At 45.6% G+C, this 24,522-nt stretch overlaps 2 protein-coding genes across 18 annotated transcripts in view, besides 6 other annotated features; one reads left to right on the top strand and one right to left on the bottom strand.

Moving 5' to 3' along the window:
- Positions 1-13,813, bottom strand: part of IST1 (IST1 factor associated with ESCRT-III) — a 36,792-nt gene extending 22,979 nt beyond the window's left edge. For 4 of the 6 annotated variants that reach the window (NM_001270975.2, NM_014761.4, NM_001270977.2 and 1 more), the window contains exon 1: positions 12,632-12,690. Coding sequence is in view for 1 of the 6 variants with exons in the window: in NM_001270976.1 (NP_001257905.1) it covers positions 13,363-13,386 (24 nt within the window). In the remaining 5 variants the exon portion in view is untranslated. Of the gene's footprint in view, positions 1-12,631; positions 12,729-13,362; positions 13,501-13,739 lie in introns of those variants that run through there. The other 2 variants (NM_001270976.1, NM_001270979.1) reach the window with 2 other exon arrangements.
- Positions 12,350-12,915: an enhancer, noted in NCBI's record as "H3K27ac hESC enhancer chr16:71929209-71929774 (GRCh37/hg19 assembly coordinates)". NCBI's record gives its function as "activates a minimal SCP1, AML or CMV promoter by ChIP-STARR-seq in naive H9 embryonic stem cells {active_cell/tissue: H9 hESC(naive)}" and the evidence as "EXISTENCE:reporter gene assay evidence [ECO:0000049][PMID:30033119]".
- Positions 12,350-13,302: a biological region, named in NCBI's record as "H3K27ac hESC enhancer GRCh37_chr16:71929209-71929774".
- Positions 12,433-12,622: an enhancer, noted in NCBI's record as "active region_11087". NCBI's record gives its function as "activates an Ori minimal core promoter by ATAC-STARR-seq in GM12878 lymphoblastoid cells {active_cell/tissue: GM12878}" and the evidence as "EXISTENCE:reporter gene assay evidence [ECO:0000049][PMID:35858748]".
- Positions 12,793-13,302: an enhancer, noted in NCBI's record as "active region_11086". NCBI's record gives its function as "activates an Ori minimal core promoter by ATAC-STARR-seq in GM12878 lymphoblastoid cells {active_cell/tissue: GM12878}" and the evidence as "EXISTENCE:reporter gene assay evidence [ECO:0000049][PMID:35858748]".
- The window catches only part of ZNF821 (zinc finger protein 821), a 35,577-nt gene continuing 24,019 nt past the window's right edge, over positions 12,965-24,522 (top strand). For 4 of the 12 annotated variants that reach the window (XM_047434347.1, XM_011523212.4, NM_001376300.1 and 1 more), the window contains exon 1: positions 23,565-23,627. Coding sequence is in view for 1 of the 12 variants with exons in the window: in XM_011523212.4 (XP_011521514.1) it covers positions 23,614-23,627 (14 nt within the window). In the remaining 11 variants the exon portion in view is untranslated. Of the gene's footprint in view, positions 14,046-22,944; positions 23,053-23,564; positions 23,628-24,030; positions 24,314-24,522 lie in introns of those variants that run through there. The other 8 variants (XM_047434343.1, NM_001201554.1, NM_001201556.1 and 5 more) reach the window with 3 other exon arrangements.
- Positions 22,673-23,173: an enhancer, noted in NCBI's record as "H3K4me1 hESC enhancer chr16:71918951-71919451 (GRCh37/hg19 assembly coordinates)". NCBI's record gives its function as "activates a minimal SCP1, AML or CMV promoter by ChIP-STARR-seq in naive H9 embryonic stem cells {active_cell/tissue: H9 hESC(naive)}" and the evidence as "EXISTENCE:reporter gene assay evidence [ECO:0000049][PMID:30033119]".
- Positions 23,754-24,513: a silencer, noted in NCBI's record as "silent region_7687". NCBI's record gives its function as "represses an Ori minimal core promoter by ATAC-STARR-seq in GM12878 lymphoblastoid cells {active_cell/tissue: GM12878}" and the evidence as "EXISTENCE:reporter gene assay evidence [ECO:0000049][PMID:35858748]".

The raw sequence follows: 24,522 nt of genomic DNA, 5'->3' as shown, positions 1-24,522 counted from the left end.
CCTCTAATCCCAGCACTTTGGGAGGCAGAGGCGGGTGGATCGTGAGGTCAGGAGTTCAAGACCAGCCTGGCTAACATGATGAAACCCCATCTCTACTCAAAATACAAAAATTAGCTTGGTGTGGTGGCACGTGCCTGTAGTCCCAGCTTCTCAGGAGGCTGAGGCAGAGAACTGCTTGAACCCGGGAGGCGGACGGTGAAGTGGACTGAGATCACACCACTGCACTCCAGCTGGGCAACAGAGCGAGACTCCGTCTCAAAAAAAAAGTAAAGACATAAAGAGGAGACAAATCTCAGAACTAATCCTTGCTTCTCAGGGGGCTGAGGCAGGAGGACTGCTTGAGTCTAGTTTAGTTGACTAGCCTGAGCAATATGGTAAGATCCTGTCTCAAAATAAAAATAAAAACAAAATCTTAGAATAAAAAATTACAAACCAAAGAAAGAAACTGTATGGACTAAACACCAGAATGGGAAATGACAGAGAAAAGAGCCAGGACACTTGTAGGTAAGTCAATAGAAAGTATCTAATCTGAAAAAAAGAGAGAAAAAAATTGAAAACAGTGAACAAAGCCTTACAGATCTGTAGGACAACAGCAAGGGGTCTTAATGTCTTAATGACAGTTGGGTCATTAAATCCTATAAGGGGGCCAGGCGCAGTGGCTCACGCCTGTAATCCCAGCACTTTGGGAAGCCGAGGCGGGCGGATCACGAGGTCAAAAGATCGAAACCACCCTGGCCAACACAGTGAAACCCCGTCTCTACTAAAAATGCAAAAAATTAGCCGGGCGTGGTGGCGGGTGCCTATAGTCCCAGCTACTCGGGAGGCTGAGGCAGGAGAATGGCATGAACCCAGGAGGCGAAGCTTGCAGTGAGCGGAGATCGCACCACTGCACTCCAGCATGGGCGACAGAGAGAGAGACTGTCTCAAAAAAAAAAAAAAATCCCATAAGGATAGGAGAAAGAGTATTTTTATTCTTTAAAAACATTATTTAAAATATGGCCTTTCTCAGATCTCGATTTAAAAAAAAAAAAAAGAAAGAAAAAATACTGCCTGAAAACTTCCCAAATTTAGCAAAACATATTAACTCTACAGACTCCAAAAGCTTAGCAAACTTGAATCAGACAAAATACAAAGAAATTCATGTCCAGACTCATAATCAAACTGCTAAAACCCAAAGACAATTTTTTTTTTGAGACGGAGTCTCACTCTGTTACCCAGGCTGGAGTGTAGTGGCACGATCTCTGCTCACTCCAACTTCTGCCTTCCAGGTTCAAGTGATTCCCCTGCCTCAGCCTCCCAAGTAGCTGGGACTACAGGCATGAGACAACCGTACCCAGCTGACAATTTTTTAAAATATTGAAAGCAGTCTGGGAAAAACGATGCATTACCTACAAGGGACCTATTAAATGACTGTAGATTTCACTTCAGAAACCAGGGAGACCAAAAGGAAGCGAAACAACGTTTTTAAAGTGCTGAAAAAAAAGAACTGTCAACTTAAAATTATATATCCAGGGAAAATATCCCTCAAAAATAAAGTCATTCTCAGATGAGGGAAAACTAGTAAGAGAATTTGTCACCAGTAGACCTGATCTAAAAGAATTGCGGGCCAGGTCTGGTGGCTCACACCTGGTAATCTCAGCACTTTGGGAGGCCAAGTCAGGTGGGATCACCTGGGGTCAGGAGTTTGAGACCAGCCTGGCCAACATGGTGAAACCCCGTCTCTACGAAAAAAAAAAATACAAAAAATTAGCTGGGCGTGGTGGCGGGCACCTGTAATCCTAGCTACTCAGGAAGCTGAGGCAGGAGAACCGCTTGAACACAGTAGGTAGAGGCTGCAGTGAGCTGAGATCGGACCACTGCATTCCAGCCTGGGCAACAAGCGCAAAACTGTGTCTCAAAAAACAAAACAAAACAAAAAGGCCGGGCGCAGTGGCTCGCACCTCTAATCCCAGCACTTTGGGAGGCTGAGGTGGGTGGATCACGAGGTCAGGAGATTGAGACCATCCTGGCTAACACAGCGAAACCCCGTCTCTACTAAAAACACAAAAAATCAGCTGGGCGCAGTGGCACTCGCCTGTAGTCTCAGCTACTCGGGAGGCTGAGGCAGGAGAATTGGTTGAACCTGGGAGGCAGAGGCTGCAGTGAGCCGAGATGGCACCACTGCACTCCAGCCTCAGTGACAGAGTGAGATTCTGTCTCCAAAAAAAAAAAAAAAAAAGAATTGCTTAAGAAGTTTTTAATGCAGAAAGGAAGTGTTAACCAGAAGGAAACCCAGAACATTATAAAGCAAGAGTTACAGAAACGGCGAATATCTGTTACAGATGGCTCTGCAAGTCTCTTAAAATATGTTTGACAATTAAAAACAAAACCAGTACTGTCTGATAGAGCTTTCAATGTATGTAAATGTAATACATAAGATAACCAAAACATTATGGGATAAAGGGAAGAAGGGTAAAGAGATCATCTATAGAATAGTAAGGTTTTCATACTCCATGAGAAGTGGAAAAACATTGACTGGAAGTAGCCTATGAAAACAAGTTCGACTGGGTGCGGTGGCTCACGCCTGTAATCCCAGCACTTTGGAAGGCCAAGGCAGGTGGATCGCCTGAGGTCAGGAGTTCAAGACCAGCCTGGCCAACATGGTGAAACCCCGTCTCTACTAAAAATACAAAAAAGTAGCTGGGCATGGTGGTGGGCGCCTGTAATCCCAGCTACTAGGGAGGCTGAGGCAAAAGAATCACTTGAACCCAGCAGACGAAGGTTGCAGTGAGCTGACATGGTGCCATCGCACTCCAGCCTGGGCAACGAGAGTGAAACTGTCTCAAAAAAAAAAAAAGAAAAGTTCATCCATTGTAACCCCTAGAGCAACCACTAAAAAATTGTATACGGCCAGGCATGGTGGCTCATGCCCATAATCGCAGCACTTTGGGAGGGCAAGGTGGGTGGATCACGAGGTCAGGAGTTCGAGACCAGCCTGGCCAACATAGTAAAACCCCATCTCTACTAAAAATACAAAAATTAGCCCGGTGTGATGGCACGCACCTGCAGTCCCAGCTACTTGGGAGGCTGAGGCGGGAGAATTGCTTGAACACGGGAGGCAGAGGCTGCAGTGAGCTGAGACCACGCCACTACACTCCAGCCTGGGTGACACAGTGAGACTCCATCTCAAAAAACAAAAAAACAAAAATACTACACAAAAAAAGCAAAAAAAAAATTTTTTAATGGAATTTAAAAATATGTTCAAATAGCTCAAAAAGCAGGAAACAGAAACAAAAATGAGAGAACAGAAAACAAATAATAAAATGTAGACCTAAACTCAAACATTCAAAAATTACATAATTAAATGAAAATGGTATAAACACAATTAAAAGACAGATATTGTGAGAATGAACCAAAAAATGATCCACTATATACTGTCAACAACAAACTCACTTCAAATATAATAATGTAGGTAGTTTAAAAGTAAAGTATGGGAAAGGTATATATGCAAACACTAATCAAAAGAAAGTTGGAGGCCAGGTATGGTGGCTCATGCCGTAAGCCCAGCACTTTGGGAGGCTGATGTGGGAGGATCGCTGGAGCTCAGGAGTTCAAGACCAGACTAAGAGCAAGATCCCATCTCTACAATTAAAAATAAAAATTAGCTGGACACGGTAGCATGTGCCTGTAGTCCCAGCTACTCGGGGGGACTGAAGTGGGAGAACTGCTTAAGCCCAGGAGGTCAAGGCTGCAGACAGCCATGTTTGTGCAAGTGCACTCCAGACTGGGCAACAGAGCAAGATCCTGTCTCAAAACAACAGGCCGGGCGCAATGGCTCACGCCTGTAATCCCAAAACTTTGGCAGGCCGAGGCAGGTGGATCACTTAGGTCAGGAGTTCGAGATCAGCCTGGTCAACATGACGAAACCCCATCTCTACTAAAAATAAAAAATTAGCCAGGCGTGGTGGCATAAGCCTGTAATCCCAGCTACTTGGGAGGCTGAGGCAGGAAAATTGCTTGAACCTGGCAGGCAGAGATTGCAGCGAGCGGAGATCACACCACTGCACTCAGCCTGGGCAACAACAGCGAAACTCCGTCTCAAAACAACCACCACCACCACCAAACAAATAGAACGTTGGAGGGGTTACATTAAAATCAGACAAAGTAGACTTCAGAGAAAGGAAAACCAGGGATACAGAAGGACATTACATAAGCATAAAAGGGTGAAGTCACCAGGAAGATACAACAATCCTAACTGTGAATGCACCCAACAACAGAGCTTCAAAAACAAAAAGCAAAAACTAACAGAGAGGAAAGGAGAAATAAATCTAATTATAGTTAGAGGCTTCAACATACCTCCCACCATAACTGATCAACCTAGCAGACAGAACACAAACAAGGACAGTGAACTGAACACCACCACCAACTGACGGCATCTCACTGACACTTACAGAACATTACACCCAACACAGCAGTGTACTAGAACATTCATGAATGTAGGACATAGCTGGGGTTCTAAAATCAAACTTAACAAATTAAATAGGACCAGGCATGGTAGCTCTCACCTATAACCTCAGCTACTTGAGAGGCTGAGGTAGAAGGATCGTTTGAGGCCAAGGGACCAGCCTGAGTAACACAGTAAGACCTCGTCTCTATTAAATTTTTAAAGAAGAGGAAAACAAAACCCAAATTAAATAGAATTGAAGTCATACCAAGAATGTTCTTTAACTGTAATGGAATTAAACTAGAAATCAACAGAAAATCTCTTAACATTTGGGAATTCAACAATATACTTCTAGATGAACTGCTTGGAGGTCAAAGAGAAAGCTTCAAGTGAAAAAAATTTTTTAAAGGTTTGTACTGAAAAAAAAAATATATATATGTAACGAATTTGTGGGATGTAGCTAAGGCAGTGCTTAGAGAAAAAATTATATCATTAAGGTTTTAATTAGAAAAGAAGAGGCCAGGCTCAGTGGTTCACACCTGTAATTCCAGCACTTTGGGAGGCCAAGGGGAGAGGATCACTTGAGGCCAGGAGTTTGAGACCAGCTTGGACAATGTAGCAAGACCCCATTCTCTACAAAAAAATTAAAACATTAGCAGGGCATGGTGGCACACACCTGGAGTCCCAGCTACTTGCAAGGCTGAGGCAGTGAGCACGAGAGTTTGAGGAGGCAGTGAGCTATGATCATGCCCACTGCACTCTAGGCTGGACAACAGAGCAAGACTCTGTCTCTCCAGAAAAAAGGTCTCAAATTACTAATCTAAGCTTCCACATTAAGGAACCAGAAAAAGAGCAAAATCAAACCAAAGTAAGCAAAAACAACAAAAAGAAAGCAAAAATCAATGAAATAGAAGAAAAAATAGAAAAAAAATCAAGGAAACTAAATGCTGATTCTTCAAAACGATTTTTTAAAAACTGACATACCTATATAACAAACTCACAAAGAAAAGGAACATATAAACATATAAATTATCAGTATCAGCGATGAAAGGGTGAATATCACTACAGATTCTAAAGACTTTTAAAGGCGATATTATAACCAACATATATCTATAAATTCAACAATTAAATGAAATAAACAAATCCCTCAGAAACTCAAATTTACTAAATTTGACACAAAGAAATAGAAAATATAGCTGCACTAGATCTATTACAAAAATTGAATCTAGGCTGGGCGCGGTGGCTTACGCCTATAATCCCAGCACTTTGGGAAGCCGAGGCGGGCAGATTACTTGTGGTCAAGAGTTCGAAACCAGGTTGGCCAACATGGTGAAACCCCATCTCTACTAAAAATACAAAAATTAGCCAGGCGTGGTGGCAGGCATCTGTAATCCCAGCTACTCGGGAGGCTGAGGCAGAAGAATTGCTTGAACCCAGGAGGTGGAGGTTGCAGTGAGCCGAGATCACACCACTGCATTCCAGCCTGGATGACAGAGCCAGACTTTGTCTCAAAAAAAAAACAATTAAATCTAAAATTAAGAACCATTCCCAAAGAAAATCCAGGCCCAGGTGGCTTCTCTGGCAAATTCTATCAAACATCTGAGGAAAATCAGTACTAATATTACATGAACCTTCACACCTCTTGGGCTGGTATGAGAATTAAGTGAAAATTTGTAAAGAAATTAGCACATTGTGTTATATGTACACAGTAAGCACCATGTAAACATTTGTTAAATAAATTCCAGTCAATGGACCCATATTTTAAAAAGTCTTAGCTCTTCATCTAAAGATTAGCTAGCCTCTTTTGTGTGTTTTATGTTAAAATAAGATGTTTAAGGCATGCTTTATATCTTTTTCCCTCGGTTTAACAATTCTGATTAATCTGTTTCAATCTCACTGCAAGACAACTGTTTCTTACATACTGCCTAGAACGGTATGTCACCCACACACTGCCTAGCACAGTGTTTTGTACAAAGCTGTCGCTCATGTATTATGTTAATTAGTAGAAAATTTAATTAAAAACCACATGCTTTTAAAAAAATTCTACAAATTTACATAATCTAGTTTTGTTTTAGAATTAAGGAAAGAAAAGCAATTTGCTAAACTATTTTGTTAAGTACTGAGGATTTTTCAACTCCTATTCAACAGATCCCCATTTTACGAAGAAACTAATCATTAAAGACAATGACAGTAAACCACAAAAGTAGTAACTAAAGGATATATCCTAAATGATTACCAGTACATTAAATAAATCAGACTAAAAACGAATTTAAAGCAAAAGACTACGCAGGGCGCGGTGGCTCACACCTGTAATCCCAGCACTTTGGGAGGCCGAGGTGGGTGGATCACGAGGTCAGGAGATCGAGACCATTCTGGCTAACGCAGTGAAACCCCATCTCTACTAAAAACACAAAAAATTAGCTGGGTGTGGTGATGGGTGCCTGTAGTCCCAGCTATTTGGGAGGGTGAGGCAGGAGAATGGCGTGAACCCGGGAGGTGGAGCTTGCAGTGAGCCGAGATCGTGCTACTGCACTCCAGCCTGGGCGACAGAGCAAGATTCCGTCTCAAAAAAAAAGAAAAAAAACCAAAAGACTGACTTAATTACTATCTCAGAATTTGAACCTGTTTCCAAAGCTAAACATAACATAAACTTTGTTATCCTGTATGATTAGGAACATTAATTTTGGAAATAATAACCTAAAAGTTAATAAAATATTCTAGTCAACATTTACTATTCATATATACATTAACAAACATAAACAAATTTTTATACATATGTGATTATATACACATCACATACTAACATTGTCCAGTAAGTAATCTAAAATTCTTTTTGTGATTCAGACGTTACTCTAAAATCACTGTGCTTCAACATCTTTACTGTCATTCACTCACTCACCAAATATTTATTGAGTGCTATTCTATTAAGCACTGTGCTAAGCCACTGTCTACAACAGACATTCAAATGAGAGCTTCCCTAGCCTTCAAGGGGCTCACAATCAAATGGGTATAGCTGACATAAAAACAACTATAAGACAAGTAAGCAATTATAACATAAACTCTAAAAAATGGTTATGAACTAGTGACCACAATCCTAGTTCTCGGTATTCTGTTTATATACATATATACTTATCTTTATTAGTGTAACACCATTATTTTTATTAGTGTCACACATGGATCAGCAGCCCAATCCTTCACTTTACTCCAATTCTTAACACTGGCATAGCAAACCCATCTAGTTCCTCTTTTATCACTCAGCTCGCTGAGACTTCGCGAGCTAGTTAGCCTCCCCATCCTGAATAAGCAAAGTAAAACCATGGACTGAGTCCTTCCTCTTAGGATATCTGGAGGAGGAAAAGAATCAGAACTGCTGCCCAAAATAGTGAAGCTGCCCAGAAGTAGTGATCCTGAAAGCTCTATTCAAAGTAGTAGCAGCTAAAAGTAGCCAAAAAAAAAAAAAAAAAAAAAAAGACTTCCTAAGGGAGTAAACTCAGTGTTTGTAGCTCTAAAAGTACGAAGTGAGGAGGGGAGAGAGCAAGGTCAAGACTGGCTACAGACACTCCAATACGTACAAAAGCTTTTGGTTTTGACGTGTGTTATTTTATTTATTCTGATCTTTTTTTTTTTTTTTGAGACCGAGTTTCACTCTTGTTGCCCAGGCTGGAATGCAATGGTGCGATTTCAGCCTACTGCAACCTCCACCTCCCAGGTCCAAGCGATTCTCCTGCCTCAACCTCCCAGGTAGCTAGGATTACAGGTGTCTGCCATCACGCCCAGCTAATTTTTTTTTTTTTTTTTTTTGAGACAGAGTCTTGTTCTGTCGCCGAGGCTAGAGTGCAGTGGCGCAATCTTGGCTCACTACTACCTCTGCCTCAGCCTCCCGAGTAGCTGGGACTACAGGCACCCACCACCATACCCAGCTAATTTTTTATATTTTTAGTAGAGACAGGGTTTCACCGTGTTAGCCAGGATGGTCTCGATCTCCTGACCTTGTGATCCACCCGCCTCGGCCTCCCGAAGTGCTGGGATTACAGGCGTTAGCCACCATGCCCGGCTGTTCGCCCAGCTAATTTTTTCTATTTTTAGTAGAGACAGGGTTTCACCATGTTGGCTAGGCTGGTCTCAAACTCCTGACCTCAGGTGATCCACCCGCCTCGGCCTCCCAGAGTGCTGGGATTACAGGTATGAGCCACCACTCCCAGCCTGAGGTTTCTTTTGTTGTTGTTCTTATAAAAGAAGTAATTTGAACAAATTTTGGTATGACCACTGTATCGCAGTTATGAAGATGTGATGTTAGAGTAGAAACAGACACAATGAGGTGCTAGGACACATTTCCAAGATAATACAGCCCAATTCCTTTATCTTTTTAAAAATTTTTATTAGCAGAGATGGGGCCTTGCTATGTTGCCCAGGCTGGTCTCCCAACTCTTGGGCTCAGCAATCCTCCCGCCTCAACCTCCCGAAGTGCTGGGATTACAGGCATGAGCCGCCACACCTGGTGGTCCAATTCCTTTAGAAGCATTACATGTACAAGTGGCACAAAGTTCACTGTGTATTTTCACACTATAATAAAATCTTCACTGGTCAAACTAAGACTGAAAATTAATTTAAAAAAAAAACTGTAAGATCAACAGCATCATGTGTTATTCACAAGAAAATAAGGCTTCAGAATTCAGAGACCATCAAAATTTTCTTGAAGGAGCTATAAATACTGAAATGCACAGGCATAAAGAAAGTATCTTCATCTTGTTCTCAATAAAATTGAGATAAAAACATTATGGGAAATTCATTGGGTCTTTTACCAAGAGTGTTTCTTTTTTTTTTTTTTTTTTTGAGATAGAGGCTTGCTCTGCTGCCCAGGCTGGAGTGCAGCGGTGCCATCTCGGCTCACTGCAATCTCCGCCTCCTAGGTTCAAGTGATTCTCCTGCCTCAGCCTCCCGAGTAGCTGGGAGAACAGGCACCCCGCTAATTTTTTTATTTTTAGTAGCGACGAGGTTTCGCCATGTTGACCAGGCTGGTCTCCAACGCCTGATGTCCTGATCTGCCCGCCTTGGCCTCCCAAAGTGCTGGGATTACAGGCGTGAGCCACCACTCCTGGCCTCAGTGTTTCCTTTTTTGTTTTTTTTTTTTTTTTAAGACAGAGTCTCACTCTGTGGCCCAAGCTGGATCTTGGCTCACTGCAACCTCCACCTCCTGGGTTCAAGCAATTCTCCTGCCTCAGCCTCCCAAGTATTACAGGCGCCCGCCACCATGCCCAACTAATTTTTGTATTTACAGTAGAGAGGGGGTTTCACCATGTTGGCCAGGCTGGTCTTGAACTCCTAACCTCACATGATCCGTTCACCTCAGCCTCTCAAAGTGCTGGGATTACAGGCATGAGCCACAGTGCCCCGCACCAAGAGAGTTTCTTTTTTTTTTTTTTTTTTCTGAGAGAGAGAGTGTCTCTGTCACCAGGCAGGTGGTGCAATCTTGGCACATTGCAACCTCCACCTCCCAGGTTCAAATGATTCCCCTGCCTTGGCCTCCCAAGTAGCTGGGATTACAGGTGCCCACCACCACACCTGGCTAATTTTTTTGTATTTTTAGTAGAGAAGGGGTTTTACCATGTTGGCCAGGCTGGTCTCAAACTCTTTACCTCAAGTGATCTGCCTGCCTCAGCCTCCCAAAGTGCTGGGATTACAGGCGTGAGCCACGGTGCCTGGCCAAGGGTTTTTCTTAAGGTATAGTTTTACAAAGCTATACTCATGGACTGAGCAATATAGAATCCTTCTCATCGTATCTTGTTACAGTCTAAAACCTTGTAGTAAACGCTGTCTAATATTCCACTCAGTAATAATTTTTTCTTTTTGAGACGGATTCTCACTCTGTCGCCCAGGCTGGAGTGCAGTGGCACGATCTCAGCTCACTGCAACCTCCGCCTCTCGGGTTCGAGCAAGCAATTCTCCTACCTCAGCCTTTGGAGTAGCTGGGACTACAGGCCACACCAACACTCCTGGCTAATTTTTGTATTTTTAGTAGAGACAGGGTTTCACCATGTTGTCCAGGCTGGTCTCAAACTCCTGACCTCAGGTGATCCACCCGCCTCGGCCTCCCAAAGTGCTGGGATTACAGGCGTGAGCCACCGTGCCCGGCCTCCACTCAATAAGAATTTTCTTACCAATTCTCCAAACTTTTGACCATCTGTACCATATAAGTAATGCTGAAATAAGTGTTCATAGGCATGTTACTTTTCCTGTATTTGGAATGACTAACTATACTACCCTTTCATTTTTCTAGTTTTATTGTAAAACCCTGGGACTTGATTCTGATTATCTTACAAGAACCAGAGCTTAAATCAAACAAACTAGAGATGGAGATTCTGGAGCTCCTGATAATTTAGAAGCCAGAGACATAAGAACAAAGAGGGAGAATGAAAAAGTATTTGGACAAAATAATAATACTATTTTAAAATAAGATATACGAAACTGGATGACTTTAAAACGTAACACTAACACTGGGGATTCAAAATACTTCTAATCCCAGCATTTTGGGAGGATCACTTGAGCCCACGAGTTCAAGACCAGTCTGGGCAACATTAAGAAACTCTCCCCTCCCGACCCCGACCAAAAAAAAAAAAAAAAAAAAGCCAGGCGTGGGCCTGTAGTGTCAGCTACTACTCCCAAGGCTGGGGCGGGAGGATCACTTGAGTCCTGAAAGGTCGAAGCTGCAGGGAGTGCACTACAGCACTCCAGCCTGGGAAACAGAGTGAGACCCCCGTCTGCAGAACAAAAACAAAAATAAATACAAAAAAAGAGGAAGTGTTTTAATTTCTTTTTTTTTTTCTTTTTTTACACAGGGTCTCACTCTGTCCTCCAGACTGAAATGCAGTGGCACGATTACCGACTCACTATAATCTCCACCTCCCAGGCTCAAGCAATCCTCCTACCTCAGCCTCCTGGACTATAGATGCGGGCCTCCACGCCTGGCTGTTTTTATTTTTGTAGAGAACGGGATTTTGCTATGTTGCCCACGCTGTTCTCCAACTCCCAAGCTCAAGTGATCATCCCACCTAGCCCTCCCCAAGTACTGGGATTACAGGGGTGAGCCACCACATCTGGCCAGTTTTATCTTCTAATGACTATTACCAAGTCCCCCTATCCCAGAAGTTCTGAGGAAGCAAATTTCCCACAAACTATTGGCTTGTAGGTACAAAAGCCAAAAGGCTTCTACTGGGAAAGGAGAGGGAAATATATACATATATATTTCAACTATTATTAAATTAGAAAAATACAGACATAGGAAGGGTATAGATAAAACAAGATTAGGCATGAGTTGATCGTGTTTGAAGCTGGATGAGAGAATTCATTATACTCCTGTCTGCTTGAAATTTTCCATAATAAAAAGTTAAAATATTACACATAATTTTAAAATTCAAGTTTCCCCTAAAGATCTAAGACCAGACTTTAAGTTTACTACGACAGACAGTGTCTTTTGTAATTAACCTACAGCTCCTGGGTCCCGACCCTCCTCAAAGTTTATGCTGTTGAGTTCCAAGAGGTCACCTCCAGCACCCCGGAAGAAGAGCACCGAGAAAAACAAAGAGGAGAGGCGCAAGGATCCTTCCAAGACCTCTCACTACACACGCAGGGATCCGAGAAAGCGGGCAGAGGCCGCTCCTTACTTCAGCGAAAGAAATTGTAATTTTCTCAGGCCAAAGTGGACCCAAGTCCGTTCCCCCAACCCAGGAACAAGCCCAGGAGGCCACCCCGCCCGGTGGAAGCGGCCCGGACTGGAGGGCATCCGCCTCTCGCGGCACTGGAAGCTCTGACCTTCCCGAAGTCTCTCCGGGCCAGAAAAGACGGGGTAGGGGTGTCGCCGAGGAGCCCTCGCCGAGGCCGCGGCGTTTCCGCCCCAAGGAAGACACACCTCGGGGCAGGAAGACTAGGGGAAAGTTAAGGGGCTTCGAGGATCCAGGACCAGAGGCCTCCGACCCGCTCGCGGCCCTGCCACGCCCCCCACCCAGGCCTGGGCAGCCTCCTGCGCCGCGGGCCCTCGAGGGCCTGACCTCCGGTCTGACCCCCACTTCCACTATCCTTCCCTTTCTCCTCAGCTGCCCCCTCCGAAGTCGTTTGAATCCCGGGCCCTAGCGCTAACTAGAGACCGCTAAATCAGGAGCGCAGAGAGAAGAGGAAGACAGAGACCTCTGACGCCGAGGATGCCACACTCACCTAACCGAATCCTGCCGTGAACGCAGCAGACACCGACTTCAGGGTTCACCATCCAAAATGGCGACTCCCTCGGCCTCAGCACAACAAGCGCGGGCGGAGGGATCCACGGGGCCGATATAGCCACGCCCTCCTTTCCAGGGATTGGCTGCGCGATCGCCGCTGCCGGGACCCACGCGCTGACTCGGGGCACCCTCCCTCGGTTTCCTTTGGAGTCGGCGCGGCCGGGGACTACTTCCCGCGGCGGGGGCACGGCAGACGTTGGGGGAAGCGCCACGCCGACTGAGTCAGCTGCTGGGGGCATGCCCTTAATTTCGCTCTGGGCGCGGGGAGGCCAGCCACAGCTGTTGATTCTCGGACTCTGCGCCCACGGCCTCACCGCGCCCAGTGCCTTGGTTCCGGATTCTTCCATAACCGGCTGCCAGTACCGCCTCTCTGACGCCGGGAGTTGCTCCCTAAGATCTGCTGCCGCCTTTCGCTGGACTTTCCCCCTGGGTGGAGCGGCCGAGGGGGTTTCGAAGCCTGCGTATCCCTGACTCTTCACCCAGCGCCTCCGTGTCCCTCTACGGGCTCTAAGCGTTCCCCCGCCCCGCTTTTAAGCCGTCCGGTTGCCCTTTGGACCAGCATCGCTCCGGTCTGTGTGGTATAATTCAGTAGTGTTTCCTCAGCACCACAGTCTCTGGCGATTTCCCTAATTTATCTCGGTATTCAGAGAAAACTTTTTCCTTGGTTACCTTTGTTTTTAACTTGAAAACCATTATCGCTGCTTAAGCCTGGAAGGGACCTTCCCAGCACTTTGAGAGGCGGGGCGGGAGGATCGCTTGAGCCCGGGAGTTGCAGACCAGCCTGGACACCATAGTGAAACCGCATCGCTACAAAAAAAAAAAAAAAAAAGTTAAAAATTAGGGGAGCAGCAGTGAGCACTTGTGGTCTCAGCTACTCGGGAGGCTGAGGCAGGAAGATCGCTTGAGCCCAGAAGGTCGCTGCTGCAGTAAACCGTGATCACGTCACAGCACTCCAGCCTAGGCTACAGAAAAAAAGAAAAAGGGCCGGGTGCGGTGGCTCACGCCTGTAATCTCAACATTTTGGGAGGCCGAGGCAGGTGTATCACCTGAAGTCGGTAATTCGAGACCAGCCTGGCCAACACAGAGGAACCCCGTCTCTACTAAAGAGGAAATTACGCATGGTGGCGCAAGCCTGTAATCCCAGCTACTCCGGAGGCTGAGGCAGGAGAATCGCTTGATTCTCGAGTTACAGTGAGCCGAGATCCGGCGATTGCCCTCCAGCCTGGGCAACAAGAGCGAAACGTCTCAAAAAAAAAAAGGGAAAAAAGAAAAAGGGGCCTCCAGAAGGAAGTCATCTGCTCCCTGCTGTGGAGGCTGCATCTAATGCTTGTACCGGGGCAGTCATATGACAAGTAGGAGCTAGCCCTTATCATAAGATGTTGATGTGAATTTAGAAATACTGTATCTTTATAAACGTTTGCAACATTTCAAGATAAAACCAGGTTCCATGCCAGGCGCGGTGGCACATGCCTGTAATCCCAGCACTTGGGGAGACTGAGGCAGGTGGATCACCTGAGGTCAGGAGTTCAAGACCAGCCTGACCAACATTGTGAAATCTCGTCTCTACTAAAAAAAATACAAAAAAAAGAAAAAATTAGCCAGGCGTGTAGGCACATACCTGTAATCCCAGCTACTCCGGAGGCTGAGGCAGGAGAATCGCTTGAACCCAGAAGGCGGAGGTTGCAGTGAGCCGAGATCTCCCCATTGCAATCTAGCCTAGGCAATAGAGCAAGACTCCAACCAAAAAAAAAAAAAGTGCAGATTTTTTTGGCTGGGCATGGTGGCTTATGCCTGTAATCTCAGCACTTTGGGTGGCCGAGGCGGGTGGATCACCTGAGGTAAGAAGTTCAAGACCAGCCTGGCCAACATGGTGAAACCGTCTCTACTAAAAATACAAAAATTAGCCGGATGTGGTGGCAACACACCTGTAATCCCAGCTACTTGGGAGGCTGAGGCAGGAGAATCGCTTGAACCTGGGAGGCGGAGGTTGCAGTGATGTGAGATTGTGCCACTGCACTCCAGCCTGGGCAGCAGAGTGAGACCCTGTCCCAAAAAAAAAAAAAGTGGGCCAGGCGTGGTGGCTCACGCCTGTAATCCTAGCACTTTGGGAGGCTGAGGCGAGTGGATCACCTGAGGTCAGGAGTTGGAGAGCAGCCTGGCCACATGGTGAAACCCCATCTCTACTAAAAATACAAAAAATTGGCCGGGCGCGGTGGCTCACGCCTGTAATCCCAGCACTTTGGGAGGCCGAGGCGGGAGGATCACGAGGTCAGGAGATGAAGACCACCCTGGCTAACACGGTGAAACCCCGTCTCTACCAACAATACAAAAAAAAATTAGCTGGGGGTTGTGGCGGGCGCCTGTAGTCCCAGCTACTCGGGAGGCTGAGGCAGGAGAATGGCGCCAGGAGATAGAGATTGCAGTGAGCCGAGATGGCGCCGCTGCACTCCAGCCTGGGTGACAGAGCCAGACTATATCTCAAAAAAAAAAAAAAAAAAGCCAGGCAGGGTGGCTCATGCCTGTAATCCCAGCACTTTGAGAGGCCGAGGTGGGTGGATCACTTGAGGTTAGGAGTTCGAAACCGACCAGGCCAACATGGTGAAACCCTGTGTCTACTAAAAATATAAAAAATTAGCAGGGCATGGTGGCGGGCGCCTGTAATCCCAGCTACTTGGAGGCTGAGGCAGAAGAATCGCTTGAACCGGGAGGCGGAGGTTGCAGTGACCCGAGATCATGCCATTGCACTCCAGCCTGGGTGACAGAGCAAGACTCTGTCTCAAAAAAAAAAAAAAAGCCTGGTTTGTGGCTCGTGCCTATAATTTCAGCTAATTCGGAGGCAGAGGCAAGAGAATCGCTTGAACCGGGGAGGCGGAGGTTGCAATGAGCCGAGATAACGCCCCTGCATTCCAGCTTGAGCGACAGAGGAAGACTCCCTCTCAAAAAAAAAAAAAAAAAATTTTGGCCGGGCACGGTGGTTCACACCTGTAATCGCAGCACTTTGGGAGGCCGAGGCGGGTGGATCACGAGGTCAGGAGATAGAGACCATCCTGGCTAACACGGTGAAACCCCGTCTCTACTAAAAATACAAAAAAAATTAGCCGGGCTTGGTGGCGGGCGCCTGTAGTCCCAGCTACTGGGGAGGCTGAGGCAGGAGAATGGTGTGAACCCGGGAGGCGGAGCTTGCAGTGAGCCGAGATCGCGCCCCTGCCCTCCAGCCTGGGTGACAGAGGGAGACTCTGTCTCACAGACTGAAAAAAGATAAGCTAAAAGTATCATTGAGCCCCACCTAACTAAAAGCGCTAAAGGTGACATGATTCTTTTTTTTTTTTTTTTTTTTTTTTTTTTTTTTGAGACGGAGTTTCTCTCTTGTTGCCCAGGCTGGAGTGCAATGGCGCGATCTCAGCTCACTGCAACCTCCACCTCCCGGGTTAAAGCGATTCTCCTGTCGCAGCCTTACAAGTACCAAGTAGCTGGGATTACAGGCATCCACCACCAAGTCCAGCTAATTTTTTTTTTTTTTTTTTTTTTTTTTGAGACGGAGTCTCTCTCTGTCGCCCAGGGTGGAGTGCAGTGGCTCAATCTCAGCTCACTCCAACCTCCGCCTCCCGGGTTCAAGCGATTCTGCTGCCTCAGCCTCCTGAGTAGCTGCTACAGGCCTGCACCACCACGCCTGGCTATTTTTAGTAAAGATGAGGTTTCACCGTGTTGGTCAGGCTAGTCTCAAACCCCTGACCTCATGATCCGCCCGCCTCAGCCTCCTAAAGTGCTGGGATTAAAGGCGTGGGACACCACGCTTGGCCGATTTTTTGTATTTTTAGTAGTGATGAGGTTTCACCATGTTGGCCAGGCTGGTTTCGAACTCCTGACCTCAAGTGATCTGCCGGCTTCGGCCTCCCAGGGTGCTAGGATTACAGGCGTGCGCCACCATGCCCAGCCGACATGATTCATTTATTCGTTTAGAAAAATTGCTTTCTACTCGGGAGTTGTAAAGATTTAGCAATCATCACCTGTGTCCTGGGCTTTAACAAAACCTACCTGTCTATTTAGATCCTGTAATATATCAACTGTGAATTGTACCCCAACAAGCCAATTATTCGAAACAGTATCTCTGAGGGAATTAAAAAACACAATATTATCTCTGTCCCTGGCTGAACAGACAAGTTTCATTCAGAAGCTAAACATACTGAAAAATAAACACTGTTTCCCTTGAAAATCCAGTTTTGCTGTTGGGACAAATGTTAACACATTACATTTCTTTGGTAACTAACCAGGTACTTTTTTTGTGTAAATGACTATAACTAGTAGCTGTAACTAAAACCAGACACAGTGTTTGAGCCCAATAAAATAAGAATCTATAACAGGCCTGCAAGCCTTAATCAGCCAACCTGTTTTGTGTACAGCCTCTCCAGCTAAGAATGATTTTTATATTGTTAAAAGGTTAAAAAGCAGGAAGGGGCTGGGCGCGGTGGCTCACGCCTGTAATCCCAGCACTTTGGGAGGGTGAGGCGGGCGGATCACGAGGTTAGGAGATGGAGACCATCCTGGCTAACACAGTGAAACCCCGTCTCCGCTAAAAAATACAAAAAAAAATTAGCTGGGCGTGGTGCGGGCGCCTGTAGTCCCAGCTGCTTGGGAGGCTGAGGCAGGAGAATGGCGTGAACCTGGGAGGCGGAGCTTGCAGTGAGCCGAGAATGCGCCACTGCACTCCAGCCTGGGTGACAGAGTGAGACTCCCTCTCAAAAAAAAAAAAAAAAAAAAAAAAAGCAGGAAGGGGAGGAGCATGAATGTGTGACAGTGACTTTATGTTGCCCACAAATCCCAAAATATTTACTATGTGGTCCTTTATAGAAAAAGTTTGCTCACCTGTAATCCCAGCATTTTGGGAGGGTAAGGCAGGGGGATCACTTGAGGTCAGGAGTTCGAGACCAGCCTGGTCAACATTGCGAAAATCTGTCTCTATTAAAAATACAAAAATTAGCCAGGTGTGGTGGTGCACTGTAATCCCAGCTACTCAGGAGGCTGAGGCAGGAGAATCACTTGAACCTGGGAGGCAGAGGAGGCTGCAGTGAGCCGAGATTGTGCCACTGTACTCCAGGCTGGGAGACAGAGTGAGATCCTGTCTGAAAAAAAAAAAAAAGTTTGCTGACTTCTGCATAAAAGTACTACACATTGTGTAAGAGAAAGAAGGGAAAGATGATGGGCATAGAGTTATTTCCTTTGTTTTAACTATTAACATTTAGACTAAAGAATATACAATGAAACAAAAAAAGAAAAAGAAGAAAAACAATAAAAAAAAGAATATACAAGGATATAGGAACTGCTCTGGACATCTTCCTAAAGCCTAGGAAAAAAAAATCAAGATCACTTGTTAAAGAACCCATGAAACAAGTCTTCAGAAAACTAATTAATGTCACTAATTAGGGCTATATACAAATATTAACTTATCTTTGTGGCATTTTACAGTTTACAAAGCACCTATAAACACATTATCTCAATTTCAGGCTGACATTTCTGTGAAGCAGCTGCAGGTCAAAAATCATTTTTTTGTTTTTGTTTTTGTTTTGTTTTGCCTGAGACAGGGTCTCGCTCTGTTGTGCAGGCTGAAGTGCAGTGGTGCAATCATGGCTCACTGCAGCCATGATCTTGGGCCCAGATGATCCTCCCACATCAGCCTCCTGAGTAGCTGGGACTATAGGCACATGCCATGCCACCATACCTGGGTAATTTCTTATATTTATTTGGTAGAGATGGGGTTTTGCCATGCTGCCCGGTCTGGCATTATCAGGTCAGGTTTTTTCGGGTTTTCTTTTGTTTTTGTTTTTTTGTTGTTGTTTTGTTTTTTGTTTTGTTTTTTGAGACAGAGTCTCACTCTGTCTCCTAGGCTGGAGTGCAATGGCATAATCTTGGATCACTGCAACCTCCACCTCCCAGGTTCAAGTGACTTTCCTGCCTTAGCCTTCCAGGTAGCTGGGATTTACAGGCATGCACCACCACACCCGGCTAATTTTTGTATTTTTATTAGAGAAAGAGTTTCACCATGTTGGCCAGGCTGGTCTTGAACTCCTGATCTCAAGTGATCCATGCACCTCAGCCTCCCAAAGTGCTGGGATTACAACAGGTGTGAGCCACCGCACCCGGCTATTGTCAGTTTTTATAGGAGGAAAGTGAAGCTTAAAGCTATGAAGTGACCAATCTAAGGTCAACAGCTATAAATGCCAGGATCAGATCTTGAACCCAGACTTTGACACTGAACATCATATATTTTCTTTTCATTTATTTATTTTTTATTTTAAGACATGGTTTCACTCTGTCATCAGGCTGAAGTGCAAGGGTACTATCACAGCTCCCTGCAGCCTCAAACTGCTGGGTTCCCATCTCATCCTCCTAAGTAGCTTGGACTACAGGTACATGCCACCATGCCTGGCTAATTTTTAAAAAACATTTTTGTAGAGACAGGATCTCACTATGTTGCCCAGACTGGTCTCAAACTCCTGGCCTCAAGTGATTCTCTCACCTCAGCCTCCCAAAGGCATGAGCCACCTCGCTTGGCCCGATTATATACTTCCTGTATATCCATGTTTCCATAATAATTTCCAGCCCTGTTTTACTTTCAATTTGTGTATATGGAGTTTATCAATACATGAAAATAAAATGCATTAAATCACAGTTATTACTGTGATTTGGGTTCATATATAAGATCAAAAAATTTTCAAATCAGGTTTTTACATTTATCATCATTGTAATCATCTAGAAAACTTAATTTTTCCTTAAATGAACTCAAAGCCATGAAAACTTGTAACTCTAGATTCTAAATATAAACACAAAAGTTTAAACATTGTCCTTTAAAATATCAGATTTTTATCAAGACTGTATGATAGTGGCATAAGGATAGGCATATAGGTCAATGGAATAGAACTGAGAGTCCAGAAATAAACCCATGCATTTATAACCAATTGATTCTCAACAAGGATACCAAGACAATTCAAAGGGGGAAAGAACAGTCTTTACAACAAATGGTGCTAAGAAAACTGGATAACTGCATGCAAAAGAATAAAATTGCCCCCCACCCCGGCCTCACACCATATGCAAAAACTAACTCAAAATGGAGTGAAGACCTAAATGTAGGAGCTAAAAAACTCCTAAGAGAAAACATAGGTGTAAATTTTCATGACTAGGCGGTGATAGTTTCGTAGACATGGCATCCAAACCACAAGCAATGAAGGAAAAAATAAATTAGACTTCATATAAATCAAAAACTTTGTGCTTCAAAGGACACTATGTGCCGTGACCAAATAAATAAAAATAAATATTATTTTTATTTGGGATACCAAATAAATAAAAATAAATTTTAGGCCAGGCGCAGTGGTTCATGCCTGTAATCCCAGCACTTTGGGAGGCTGAGGCGGGGAGATTGCTTGAGCCTAGGTGTTCCAGACCAGCCTGAGCAACATGGTGAGACCCCGTCTCTACAAAAAATACAAAAATTATTCAGGTGTGGTGGCGTGTGCCTGTAAGGGCATGCCAGTAGTCCCAGCTACTCGGGAGGCTGAGGTGGGATGATCACCTGAGCTCAGGGAGGTCAATGCTGCAGTGAGCTGTGATCATACCACTGTGCTGCACTCCAGCCTGGGCAACAGAGTGAGACCCTGATTCCAAAAAAAAAAAAAAAAAGACAACTCAATTTAAAAATAGGCAAAGGATTTGAATAGACATTCTCCAAATGGTCAATAATAAGCACATGAAAAAATATTCAACATCCTTAGTCATTAGAGAAATGCAAATTAAAATCACAATGAGATATGACTTTATATCCACTAGGGTGGCCATTAATGTCAAAGACAAACAATAACAAATGTTGACCAGGTTGTGCAGAAATTGGAAACACCATATGTTGCTGATAGGAATATAAAATGGTGCAGCCACTTAGGAAAACAGTTTAGCACTTCCTCAAAAAGTTGAACACAGAGGGCTGCGCGCGATGGCTCACGCCTGTAATCCCAGCACTTTGGGAGGCCGAGGCGGGCGGATCACGAGGTCAGGAGATCAAGACCATCCTGGCTAACACGGTGAAACCTCGTCTCTACTAAAAATACAAAAAAAATTAGCCGGGCGTGGTGGCGGGCACCTGTAGTCCCAGCTGCTTGGGAGGCTGAGGCAGGAGAATGGCGTGAACTCAGGAGGTGGAGCTTGCAATGAGCCGAGATCGCGCCACTGCACTCCAGCCTGGGCGACAGAGCAAGACTCGGTCTCAAAAAAAAAAAAAAAAAAGGTTGAATATAGAGTTACCATTTGACCAAGCAATTCCACTCTTAGATATATGTATGCACCCATGTCCATACATAATGTAAAGACATATGTTTACACAAAAACTGTACACAAATGTTCATAGTAGCATTATGCATAGTAGCCAAAAAGTAGGCCCAAGCCAAATATCGTTCCACTAATGAATGGATAAATAAAATGTGGCATATCCATACAACAGAATATAATTCAGCCATAAAAAGGAATTAAGTACTGATATATGCTACAACATGAATGAACCTTGAAAACCTATTAAGTGACAAAAGCCAGATTAAGTGACAAAAGCCAGACACGAGAGGTCCCATACTGTATAATCAATCACATTTATATGAAATGTCCAGAATAGGCAAATCCACACAGACAGAAAGTAGATTTGTGGGTGCCAGGAGCTGGAGGAAGGGAGAATGGTGAGTTACTGCTACTGGGTATGGGATTTCTTTTTGGGGTGATGAAAATATTCCGGAATTAGATACTAGTGATGTTGTCAACCCTGTGAATGTACCAAAACCCACTGAATTGTACACTTTAAAAGCATGAGTTTCATGGTATGTGAATTATACCTTAATTTAAAAAAATGTAACATGAGGTTCTTAAAATCCTCCTACCTTTATTGTTGGAATATAGAGCCCTAACAAGGTCATTGTAGAAGCCAACAAATATAAAATGGATTAGGAAGATATTTCAAGTGGAAAGTTAAATAGTTGAAGTGGCAAAATGATGACATAACTGTGAGTAGATTGGGAAAGTAGAAAAAAGTGAAGCTAAAAAAATATATATGGTTAATTAAAAGGTCTTCTAGATGTAGAACAAGTTTAGGTGAAAGCAGAGGAAAAATAAATTAATTCTTCTTTTTTAAAGAGACAAGGGTTTCACTATGTGGCCCAAGCTGGCCTCAAACACTTGGGCTCAAGTCATCATACCATCTCAGCCTCCTGAGTAGCTGGGACTATAGGTGCCAGCCACCATGCCTAACTTAAACTAATTACGTATTTAATAATTTTTTCATTATTTGGTTGTAACCTTGAATCACAACACCTCTGAGAAATTTTTAGAGCACAGGGAAGTCATAAGAATAGCATTATTATCATCTCATTTTATTTGGAAGTCAAGGAGATGGAATAAGCTGCCCAACATTACATAATAATAATGCATCCAAGAAATTTCACTGGAGGCAAACTTTACCTGTTTGCTACTTTTCTGTTGAAAATGTCAACTAAGTCAGCTTTAAAGTGACATAATAAAGCCATACTTGTATCCCTCAGTCCAAACTGATCAAGAATTACTGTTAAATATAAAAGCCAGTGTGTATTCTAGGTTGTATTCTTACACAAAATAGTACAAACACTTGCGGGTTGGATGATAATATTCCATTTTCTGTCTACTTGGAAACTAAGTTTTTAAATGAAATTAAAATGTTTCCTTGACTGAAGTTAAACAACAATAATTGCTATCTAAGTATCCTAATCACAATAAATAAATGAGTGAATGATGAATGAGCTATTTATCACAGAATTGTGAAGGACCAAGATCCCTCAATGTAATCATTCTATTACATTGAACACAAGATGCAGACAATGAGATCATCTCATAAAAGATTTAGGGGAAAGACAATTTGCAAGAATGTTCTATGCAAATACCAGGACTTGTCACTTTATCAGCAAATGACAGCATCCTCGTTAGCCCTGCCTTTGTGCAGCCAGTAATCACGAAAAACATTTGCATGATGCTTTTAGCCATTTGTTTTACTTAACTGGCACAACAACCCTCGGAGAGTAAAGGCCAGGAATTATTGCATCATTATCCATTTGACATCTTAGGAAGCAGAGGCTCAGAACAGGGAAGTGACTTGCCCAAAGTCAACAGGCTGGTGGGTGGCAGAGCTGGGGCTCAAAGCCAGATCTTCTAATACCAGATCTCATCTTCTTTCCTCTGCATTCCCTGCTTCTCCAGGTAAGCGATGCCAGGGCAGGCTCAGGCATTCTAGAAGAGAGGAAGAAAAGAAGGCAACAGGAACTAGGAGAGAGAAGGACGTGGACAGGAGGAGGTGTTTGACTAGAAGTGCGTCCAACCAGGCCGGGCACAGTGGCTTACGCCTGTAATCCCAGCACTTTGAGAGGCCGAGGCGGGAGGATCACCTGAGGTCAGGAGTTCGGGACCAGCCTGGCCAACATGGTGAAACCCCGTCTACTAAAAATACAAAAATTAGCTGGGCGTGGTGGTGCACGCCTGTAGTCCCAGCTACTCGGGAGGCTGAAGCACGAGAATCGCTTGAACCTGGGAGGCGCAGGTTGCAGTGAGCGAAGATCGCGCCATTGCATTGCAGCCTGGGTGACAGAGCGAGACTCTGTCTCAAAAAAAAAAAAAAAAAAAAGGTCCAACGGCTCTCCATTGCCCCCAAACATCCCTCAAGTGACAACAGTGCCACAAGTTCCCCTGCCCCTGGGTCTGCAGCCAATGTTATTTTATCAGTTGAGAATCATGTCAGAAAATTAAATACTCAAAAGAAATCTCAAGATTTCCCAGCTCTGAGGTTCTGACAGCTGAACTTGGCCCCTCCCACCAAGGCCCGTGGTCACATTCAAAGCCTCGGGAGCCGAAGCCACCGCGAAGCGTGGGGGAATGAGGCGAAGAGGGTTTGTGACGGTGGTGGGGATCCGGGCTAAGGAGAGGGGGTGCCTGCGGCGGAGCTGTGGTTGGGGGTTGTGGGTTTTGTGGCTGAACTCGATGGTGGGGTAAGAAACCAGGATCGGGGCTGGGTAGGGTGGCGTTTACACGTCCAGGAAGGTCTGGGGGAGCTGAGCGGCTGAGACAGCCAGAGAAAGACCCGGGAATGGGCGAGGCGGGGGGTTCCGGAGCCCTGGAACGCGGGCGAGCCCCTCTCGGGCGCCCGGGATTGGGCGCTCCCCGGAGCCCCTCCTCTCCAGAGCCCCTCTCCTCAGGCCCCGCCCACAACGCCAGGCGCGCGCCGGGCCGCGGGGAAGGGGACCTGGCCGGCGCGGGGGAGGGGGAGAGGGAGGCTCGTGCACGCGCCTCACTAGCTGCGGGTGCGCGAGCCGCGCGCTCCCGCCGCCCGCGTCGCCATCTTTTTCCCCCTCCGTCTGTCTGTCTGCTGTTGGCTTTGTCCGTCTGCAGCGCCGCCCCTCGGCTCCCCGCCACCGGCTCGGCTCGGCCCGGAGCCCCTTCCGCTCGCCGGGGCCCAGTCCCGGAGCGCCCCGGCCCGGCTGGCTTGGGCTGCGGTCCCGGGTCCATTGTCCGGCGGTCCGTCTGTCCGGAGGCGGGGCCCAGGGACCCAGAGCGCAGCGCAGCGCCGAGGCGCCGGGTAAAAAGACCCCCTGCCCTCCCTCCGGGTCCGGGCTGGGGATGCGGGCTCCTCGCCCCCTCGCGGCCGCCGGCTGTTGGTCCTTTTGTCTGCACTGGGGAGAGGGCCGGGGGCCAGCTCCGGCCTAGGGGGGCAGCCCGGGCTCACCCTCCCCGCTTCCAACCCCAATTCCTCCCCGGCCGCTCCTCCTGCTGCCCCTTGGCGCTCTC

This window comes from Homo sapiens, chromosome 16 (genome assembly GCF_000001405.40).
Source record: "Homo sapiens chromosome 16, GRCh38.p14 Primary Assembly".
In the NCBI taxonomy this organism is placed as follows: Eukaryota; Metazoa; Chordata; class Mammalia; order Primates; family Hominidae; genus Homo; species Homo sapiens.
Note: the sequence above shows the minus strand (reverse complement) of the source record. Positions and strands in the feature narration are given on the sequence as shown.